The following is a 10737-nucleotide window of genomic DNA, read 5'->3' as shown; positions in this document are numbered from 1 at the left end:
AAGAATATTCAGATCTTTTCCTCTAAGTGTATGTCATGTAGGTATGAGTGTGTGGACACAAAGGCTTCCAGGATATTTGTCTGCCACTAGGATGCAGGTGTGTGGGCAAGCTCGGAGCAGCTGCTGCTACTGGGCTTGTTTCTGCATTTGGTAGTCCGGGCAGGTTGATGTGTGCCTGGATGCTAGTTGGCACAGTGTAGATTCTAGATCATCCTTACAGGACTTGAAGTGGGTGAAAGATGGTGGCCATCTCTTTTCCTAATGTCAGGACTTCTGGAGTGTGTTGGTGGTTGGATTCAACTCTATAACTAGGAATCCGAAGTTTTCTGAATGATCCTCAGTGTATCAAAAACCTTAAATGGGGCTGCCCTGGTGTTTGGCTGTATGTCAAATGCTATTACATAGATACTTAAGTAACAAAAAGTAGAGAATATCCTGGAGAAGAGAAACATTCTTTTGTTCATGCTCACTATCTCAGCCCATCTATTAGATCTGCTGGCAAATAATTTAGTAAGATGAAAGGACAGCCATATGTAATGCTTATAGATGATGCAATACTGCTGCAAACCTGTGTCAAGCACACTACAAAGAAGTGGAATTATCTGTGTTTTACTCTTCAACGATTGCCATGTGCTCTGCATAATATAGCCGTATTTGAGCAACGTTACCCAACATTACCAAAACCTATTTTTGATTGTTAGCCAGCCACTGTTTAAGAGAAAAAAAAAAAAAAAAAACACCCATTACTCTGACAAATTCACCTTGATACCCAAGATCAATAACACAATTTTGTCTGCAAGCATACAAACACAAAGCAGCAAGTTAATCTATTTATCCAACATTGGCATAGATAGCATAAAATTTTGCCAAAGAAATTGAACACTTCCATAGGAGGCTTACAGTAAGCATCTTCTAACACACAAATATGTGAACTTATCATTTCACAGTAACTGCAGCCAGCCACCTCCTATCATTTCCTGGCTGGCCATGTAAAGCATGTATGGTCTATAACACACATTTTGCTCTAATTTCATGTATAAGTTGTCGTAAGTATTGTTTTTCTTTATTATCTAAATATTTCATGAATAAGTTTTGGAGTGTATTTTCTTGATTAGATTTTTAAGGCCCTTGAGAGTTGAGAAGTAGCACATATTCTGCTATTGTTCCCGTTGCTTTTCAGTTTAACTAGCCTTTATTGAGTGTAAGGTACAGGGAATGCAAGTATAGTCTGCCCTCTAAGAGCTTACCTTCCAGTGACAGTAATAACAGCTACCATCTTTTGAGCACTGACTATGTGTCAGGCTTATCAATAAATATATGCTTATCACTAATCCTTACATAAACCCTGCAAAATAGGTATTGCTGTTTCTGTTAGACAGAAGAAGAACCCAAGGCTCAGTTGATAACTTAACCAAATTTAACAGGCAGCAAAAGTGAAAGAGATCTTTCTGTTTGAAAACGCATGGTCTTTTCACTATTTACATGATGGTATTTCCCTCTGTGCAACTTGGACTAGAGGAAAAACTCATTAAGTATTTGTTTAATTAAATAGCATGGGGTGAAGAGGTAATTATTAGGCATTATCTTTAAGGGATCCTCCAAGCATTATTGAATTCATGGAGGAGTGCATTTAAATAAGAACTTATCCAGAATACTAAGGCATTCTTTGGGGTTCGTTAGTTACTTTTTTTGTTGTGAGAACATTGGACAGTAGAACAGAGAGACAAAGTTATAACTGAGGAATTGCCTAATCCACACATCCATGGTTTCATTCAACTGATGCTTATTAGGTGTCTCTATGATCCAGGCATTGTGCTAGTGTTGGGGATACAGGTAAGAGTAAGAAACATTGTCTGTTCCAACAGAGCTTACAGCTTAGGGGAGAACACAGAAATTAAGCAAATTATCTCACAAACAATAAACTTCATAAGTTGGGGTTCTAATAAATTATATAGAGAAGTACAGGATCTATAAGAATAAATAGTAGAGGAACTTGACCTTGTCTTGGGGTCAGAGTGGCCTGAAAAAGTGATATTTAAGCTAGAATTTGAATGATGAATAGAAGCTACCTGGTTTTAGGGAAGGGAAATTTGTATTCCATTATAAGGAATTCCTTATTCATTTACCAATTTATTTATTCATTTATTCATCACTTTTAGATGTAGAGATTCAGCAGTGAATAAAAAGACAAAAATACATTCATTTTTGGAGCCTACTTTCTAGCTAAGGGAAGATGGACAATTAAGATAGCAATGTACTATGTGTACTATATTTTAAAAAACAAGGCAAAGAATGTTGGAGAATTAAAATTTTAAACAATATGTGCAAAAATCTTGAGTTTGAAGTACTAGGGGTTGAGAAAAGGTCACTGTCGCTGGCGCTTGGAGACAGAAGAGGAGAGTAGGAGAGTGTGGTGAGGTCCCTACAAAGGTAGACAGAGTCCAGATTACATAAGGTCCACATGATGTGCTAAGGATCCGCATTTTATTGAAAAAGCAAATGAAAATCAATCAGACATTAAAACAAAGAAGCTAGTCATTAATTTGTAATTCCATAGGAAAAAATAATCAATTTAACCAATTTAATGTGTAGCTCTTTCAGAAACACATGTGGTGTGCAAAGCAAGATACATTTAAATTAAAAATCATTTCCTTCCATTAATACATAAGCTCAAAGAGGAAAAGATAATACTTGCAAGCAAGTAAACCAACCAAATATATATTAGTGTTTAATCCAGCAGCAGGATGTAGAAAATAAGTTTTTAAATCACTGATTTAGAAGCCAAAAATAACACATTAATCTTCATTCAGTTCTCATCCTACAAATGTGGTTTCACAAAGAGTTCTTAGCATCTAGTGTATTTTTCATTTTCTGATCTCAATTGATCTCAGCTAATAAGAGGCTGTTGTTCAAAAGAATGATCTTGTTCAGGATAATTTACCATGATTAACAGGGCAAAGGAAACTGAAATTTATAGATCTGTTAAAAAGACCTAGTTGTCAGGCTAATTGATACATTTTGGCCACCCCTTGAAATTACGTCCACTTTTACAATGCCAAATGAACTCTCTAAGGCAACAGAAGAAGGATTGTTCTTTAAACATACTGCAGAATTCATCATCAAATAGTTATTTATTAAGCAGCTCAACAAGCATGTACAGATTCTTTTTATCAGCAGTTCTGTTTCTTAGAACCAAATATCCATCGTATATAATACTCAATCACACTTGAGTACAAAAGTAGCTATGATTTAAAAAATTATAATTTTGCAAAATTAAAAGTTTGATTACCCTAGTTCATAATGAAGATGGATGGTGCCTATGACTGGGTTTTGCCTGCATAGCTCTTTATTCATGTGTTTCATACCTTTGTTCATCCCTGATCAGAAAGAAGTTAAAGATCCTGAGGTTCAGCTGGGCATGGTGGCTTATGCCTGTAATCCCAGCACTTTGGGAGGCTGAGGCGGGCAGATCACCTGAGGTCAGGAATTCGAGACCAGCCTGGTCAACATGGTGAAGCCCCGTCTCTACTAAAAATACAAAAATTAGCCAGGCATGGTGGCGGGCGCCTGTAATCCCAGCTGCTCAGGAGGCTGAGGCAGGAGAATTGCTTGCACCTGGGAGTTGGAGGTTGCAGTGAACCAAGATCGTGCCACTGCACTCCAGCCTGGGTGGCAGAGCAAGACTCCAACTCAAAAAAAAAAAAAAAAAAAAGATCCTAAGGTTCATCAGACTTAAATGTAAACCATTTCATTTAATGGATCTAAAGTGAAATATAGCCCCCTACCTCAATGTTACTCTTATTGCATTACCTACTTAAAGTTGATTTCTAAACTTTCCTTTACCTCTAGAGTTTCACTATACCGGAGTACAATCACATGAGATTTGTACCTAATCAAGAAATACACCTAATCTCTCCAATCCTGCTCCTCTACCTCTTAGTTAATAACTCCAGGCTTCCTTTTTCTCAGGCCAAAAACCTTGGAGTCAACCTTGACCCACATCCCATCCATCAGCAGATCCCGTAAGTTCTAACTATGATGGAAACCTGACTGCTAGCCACCACCAATATAACTAACACCATGCTTCAAACCACTGTCATCTCTCACCCAGATTATCCCACTAGACTTCTGACTATCCTACAAACACCTTGACCCTATTACAGTCTCCCTACATAGCAAACAGATGGAGACTGAGACAAAAACCTCCAGTGACTTCCCACCTTACTCCAATTATAAGCGAAGGTCTTCACAAATGTCTTCAAGCCCCTACATGAAATAATACTGACTCCTAAGTTTACTTCACCTGTGTCTCCCTTTCCATACATCCCCATCCACTCTGCTCCAGCCACACTGGTGTCCTCACTTTGGCTGGAGTATACCAAGCATACTCTCATTGCACAGGCTGCTCCTCTGCCTAGAAACCTGCCACCAGACACCCATTTCATTCACTTCTTCACCTTCTTTAGATCTTTATCACATTTTTGTACCACCATATCAGAAACTGCAACCCTATTGTCTCACTTCTGTACCGCAAAAGAACTCTAATCCTCTTTCTCAGCTTTATTTTTCTCCATAGTACTTACCACTAACTATCTTACACTGTTTCACATTTTTAAATTTTTATTTTCCATTGCTTCCCCACCACCCCTAGAATCCTGGCCCTGAGGGGAGGAATTTTTATTTGTTTTATTTTCACCAGTATTTTCCCAGTTCCTATAACAGAGCCTGGCACATTGTAGACACTCTATCAATATTTGTTGAATAAATGAATGAATAAAGAAATACAACATAAGTGATAAAATATCCAAATGATTGTACAGCATATGAAAATATTTGGAAACACATTTCCTAGATCCAAGAATCTGTGTTATTCCGATAATACAAAAAAGACACCTATAGTTCTAAGCATCAAATCTTAGAACCAGTATGCAAAGACTCTCACAAAGTGTCTGGCCCACCTTATTTTGGGCAAAAACCCCACAGAAAACCAAAAAACTTTGGACAGATATTGCACCTAGCATTAGAGAAGGAGGTGATCACTTCCTCTTATAAGAAATTTACTCTCTAGGCTGGGAGAGATGGCTCACACCTGTAATCCCAGCACTTCGGGAGGCCGAGGCAGGTGGATCACCTGAGGTCAGGAGTTTGAGAGCAGCCTGGCCAACATGGAGAAACCCCATCTCTACCAAAAATACAAAAAAAATTAGCTGGGCGTGGTGGCACGAACCTGTAGTCCCAGTTACTCGGGAGGCTGAGGCAGGAGAAGGGAGGCTGAGGCAAGAGAATCACCTGAACCCGGGAGGCAGAGGTTGCAGTGAGCCAAGATCGTGCCACTGCACTCCATCTTGGACGACACAGTAAGACTCTATCTCAAAAAAAAAAAAAAAAAGAAGAAGAAGGAAATATACCCTCTAGAAGCTAGTTCATATTTTAAAATATTTGATTCTTTTCATTGCTGAGGATTTTAAGGAGTAATGTTAATAGTGGGTGTTGTTGCAACATCAGAATTTTTTTCTATAGTTAGATTAATTATCTTGAATATCCCATTAGTGCCAAAATGCAATTTAAGCCATCATTTCAAAATAATTTTATGTATGCTTATCAGGACTAGTAAATTTGTCTCTCTAAAGAATAATTACCTGAGAAAATGTTACAAAGTTACCTGCTAAGGCAAACTATTGCTTAAAAAAAATAATGCTTTTCAAAACTCACCCACCCAACTGCCGCCATGATAATAGTAGGGATTATAGTTTTGATGATAGGTTTTCCTTTGCTTGACACCCTTATTTATCTCTACTGCTTCAGCCGTAAACATTATAAACTCTCAGTTTTACATAATAGTTTTTAGTTCCTTCGCCATCCTGCTGCCTTCTTTTAAATATATGCCTCAATTTGCCTCTTTCACATTTGAAGTATGGTTCTCAGAACCAAGCAAAATATTCCCAGTGGTTTTGAGTGGCCAACCATAGTGAACAAACTACCATGTTCATGTTCTTTATTCTGAATTTTATATTTTTATTAATACCGATTGAAAGTATAACAACATTGGGGGCAGTTGTATATCAGTGTTGACTTGTTCATTCATTGATTCAGTGGACAGATATTTTTTGAGGTTTTACCATGTGCCAAGCATTGAGCAATGAGATGGAGATATAATGAATAAGACACAGTCTTTGTTCTCAAGTGACAAAGAGGAGACAGATATTAATCAATAATCATGCAAAAATAAACTCAGAAATTGTGATAAATGTTATGGAAATACTATGAGAAATATGAGAATGTATACTGTGGTAGTTAAAACAATGGCCCTCAAAGTTATATACATTATAATCCATGAACCTGTGACTCTGTCACCTTACATGGCAAAAAGGACTCTGTAGGTGTGATTAAGTTAAGGCTCATCAAATGAGATTATCTTGAAATGTCTAGGTGGGCCCAATGTGATCACGAGGGTCCTTAAGAGAGGAAGGCAGAAGGGTTAGAGACAGATGTGGCAAAAGGAGAAATGGTAAGGGTTTGGTGAGGAAGAGATTTGAGGATGCCACTTTCTGGTTTTGAAGACTGAGAAAGGAATCATGAGCCAAGGAATTTGGGCAACCTTTAGAAGCTGGAAAAGACAAGGAATTTGATCCTGCCCAGAGCCCTCAGAAGGGATGCAGCCCCATCAATACATTGATTTTAGGACTTCTGACCTCCAGAATTTTAAGATAATATTTCTGGTTTTTGTTTTGTTTTGTTTTGTTTGTTTTTTGTTTTGAGTCTCTCTCTTTAGACCAGGCTGGACTGCAATGTCATGATCTCGGCTCACTGCAACCTCCACCTCCTGGGTTCAAGCGATTCTCCCATGTCAGCCTCCTGAGTAGCTGGGATTACAGGCACTCGCCATCATGCCTGGCTAATTTTTTTTGTATTTTAGTAGAGACAGGGTTTCACCATGTTGGCCGGGCTGGTCTTGAACTCCTGACCTCAGGTGATAAGCCCGCCTCTACTTCCCAAAGTGCTGGGATTACAGGCATGAGCCACTGCACCCAGCCTAAATTTGTGTTGTTTTAAGCCACTAGATTGATGCTAATTTGTTAAAGCAACAATAAGAAATCAGTACATAGAACAAAGGACCTGATCCAATTTGGGGCAGATCCTAGATACCTCTTTTGAGAGCTGAAGGATGAGGAGGAGATAACCAGGCAAATGTGGGGAAAGAAGAAAGCATTCTAGACTATAGACTGGTCCCTGAGGTTGGGCAGGGGGACAACTGGTAAGTCCAAATAATTAAGAGGTCAGTGGGGACATGAAAGGAGAGAGTAGTTTTAGATGTGGGAGGGAGCCAGGAGCTGAGTCATTTTTATAAGCCATTCTATAGAATGGGGATAATAGTATCTAAAAGTGTTGTTGTGAAGATTAAATAAAATAATCCTTTTAAGTGCCTGGTACATAGTAAGTAATAATAAGAATTGCAGCTGTTATTATTAAAGTTTGAATTTAGATTCGATTTTGAATATGATATGCAAGATATACTCATATCCAGAAAGGAAAAATGATTCTGTCATGTGAACTATGGAATATCTCACTTTTTATTTGTTTTATTCATTGCTTGTATATTAGTCAGATATTGCCATGATGATGCTGTGTAACAAAACATCCCGAAACCTCAGGACATACAACAAAAGGATTTATATTCATGCTCACAGACCTGCAGGTCTAATGAGATCTCACTGGGCTAGAAAAGACTTGGCTTGGTAGCTCTTCTTCAGTCTGGATTGACTGAATTTACTTCCAGTCTGTGGGCTGGGTTCAGGTGTATTCCACATGTGTTCATTCTAGGGCCCAGATTGAAGAGCAGTAGCTACTTGCCCCATGTTCCTCTCATGATGGAGCACTAGAGCACAAGGGCCAAGCCAAACCTCATGTAAGGCCTCTACCTGGGTCAAATTGGCCAATGTTCTATAGGCCAAGGAAAGTTACATGGCCAAGCTCAAAATTAAGGAGGTGGTAAAGTACACTCTGCCCTCAATGGGATGGAAAGAGAGATATTTGCTGACCCATAATTCAAAGTCACACCTGCTAGTTCATAACACTTTGTAAATATTCATATTAAGGGATAATAACCTCAATTAACAACTATGTTCTATTTTATCCACATTTATTAGTATTATATTTAGCAGAAATTTTTCATATGAGAGATTTAAAATCTATACATAATAATATAACTTATAGTGAATGATCACTATAATATGGAATTTTAATATAAACATCACGGCCTTCTTTTCAAATGTATGACAACACATGAGGCATTTTTCCCCTCTTAATTTTAATTTTTAAATGTTATTCTTCAGCAATCATAACTTTTTTTTAAAGGGTGGTCACAGTCACTGAGGATAACTACAGAGACTAAGTTCTTTTTTTTTTTTTTTTTTTTTTGAGATGGAGTTTCTCTCTTGTTGCCCAGGCTGGAGTGCAATGGCTTTACCTCGGCTCATTGCAACCTCCTCAGGTTCAAGCGATTCTCGTGCCTCTGCCTCCTGAGTAGCTGGGAATTCAAGCACGTGCCACCACGCCTGGCTAATTTTTGTATTTTTAGTAGAAACGGGGTTTCTCAATGTTGGTCGGGCTGATCTTGAACTCCCGACCTCAGGTGATCCACCCGCCTCAGCCTCCCAAAGTGCTGGGATTACAGGTGTGAGCCACCGCGCCCGGCCTAAGAGACATTTCTGAGGGAGAATTGACAGTGTTTAATGGCTACTTCCATGAGAAGTAAGAAAGGAGAGGTGGAGAATAAATCCAAGATTGATTGATTGGTTGAATGAAACAAGTATGTGGCAGGCTGCCTTTGTTAGAAAGGGGATGATATGGTAGGAAATTATCCCATTTTGGGCTTAAGACACCATGACAAATGAATGCACATAGATAGATCTATCAGACAGTTGGAAATAGTTACTTCATGTTTGGTAAAGTGTTCTCAGGGCTGAGAATATGGGTATGAGAGTCTTTAATATGGAAGCCATGGGAATTTCACTTGCATGAGGATGTAAATTGATAAATGGACCAAAGACATAAACATAGTGAAATAGATGTGTTTAAGCAGCACCTAGAGAAGAAATCAGCAAAGGAGACTAAATAGAGAAAGCAGAGGTAGCAACTGCAATCTTGGCTACGCTAATCATCTGATGTTCTATGAGGTGTCCAATAACTGAAAAAATAAAAACATATCCATAATAATTGGACTGATAAAACATATATTTGCCACCTATCTAGAACATTCCAAACACCTAGTAAAATTCCAGGAAACCTGTTATTGATTGATCTGATCAACTTAAACATAAAATCTAGGTAAGCCACTGATCCCTAGATCCAAGAATACCAAAAGTCTTTAGTACTTGCATTTTTTGTCCTGGTTCATCCACTAATGTGAGCCAATCATTTAATGTCTATGAACTGGTTTTCTCATCTTAATAAAAGAAAAGCTATGGAGGCTGGGATAGCCAGATGACATCTTATAAAGTTTCTCCAGAGACTCAAGCAATTCTGAGACGGAAATCTTAAATAGATTGGCTCAAGAGCAAATGCAGAAGAAATGATTCCCCTTTCCTAGTGTCACCCTTCGCCCTTCCTCAGTGATTATTGATTGGGAATCTCCAAAGGTATATAGGAGGCATCGAATACTTTTCTAGTTCCTGTCAGGAGTGCAGGTGATTGTCACCCATCCACGCTGAATGGTGCCTGGCATCACGTTGGTGGAATGGCATTCATATGTACCCCACCCAGAAGTACCTCTCCTTCAGTACCTTTGCAGTGGCTCACCAGGCACCTGATACTCCCCTACATCCCAGTGGAATCCCATAAGCTTTCTTCAGGTAGTTGTGCTAAATGAGTCTGGGTTCTCTGAGGAACTCTGTAAGGTTCAGTACACATTCAGGGGCTCAGGAGTTAAGACTTTTTTTTTCCCCCTACCAGAATTTAAAAAAAAAAAAAAAAAGGACAAAGATAAAGAAATATTAACTTTTTAAAAAGCCTGATGACTGTTTTGCAAGGGGCATGTATGTTACACTACATAATCAAGTAACACTGGTTGAGGGATGGCTCAGGAATTGAATAACCCATGTCTGTCTCTTTTGCTTGATTATTGCAACACTGTGTGCCCGGCACTGTTCTGGTTCCTGGAGTTCTACTAACTTTTAAAAAAATAAATGTGAAGCCGTTGCTGATTTTCGTGGCCGTATGCAGGGAACCGCGGTAAGCAGTCGTCCAGAAAGGCAGGTGGGCATTTCTTTTTCATTTTCTTTTTTTATGTTTTGAGACGGAGTTTCGCTCTTCTTGCCCAGGCTGGAGTGCAATGGTCCAATTTTGGCTCACTGCGACCTCCGCCTCCCAGGTTCAAGCGTTTCTCCTGCCTCAGTCTCCCGAGTAGCTGGGATTACAGGCATGTGCCACCACGCCCGGCTAATTTTGCATTTTTAGTAGAGACGGGGGTTTCGCCACACTGGTCAGGCTGGTCTCGAACTCCTGACCTCAGGTGATCCGCCCGCCTCGGCCTCACAGGGTGCTGGGATTACAGGCGTGAGCCACCGCGCCCGGCTGCAGGTGGGTATTTCTTTAAGGACTAGGCGAGAGGCCTTCCGCTCCGAGAAGAACACTCACAGAACAGTGGCCTTTCCTGGTCACGGCGAATGCACCTAGGACAAATCGCACAGCTGGTTTCCAGGCCCCGCCCCCACCTGTAGACTCCGCCTCTGGGTCCGC

This window comes from Homo sapiens, chromosome 8, assembly GCF_000001405.40.
Source record: "Homo sapiens chromosome 8, GRCh38.p14 Primary Assembly".
NCBI classification, from domain to species: domain Eukaryota; kingdom Metazoa; phylum Chordata; class Mammalia; order Primates; family Hominidae; genus Homo; species Homo sapiens.
The sequence above is the reverse complement of the archived record's forward strand: the minus strand, read 5'-3'. Positions refer to the sequence as shown.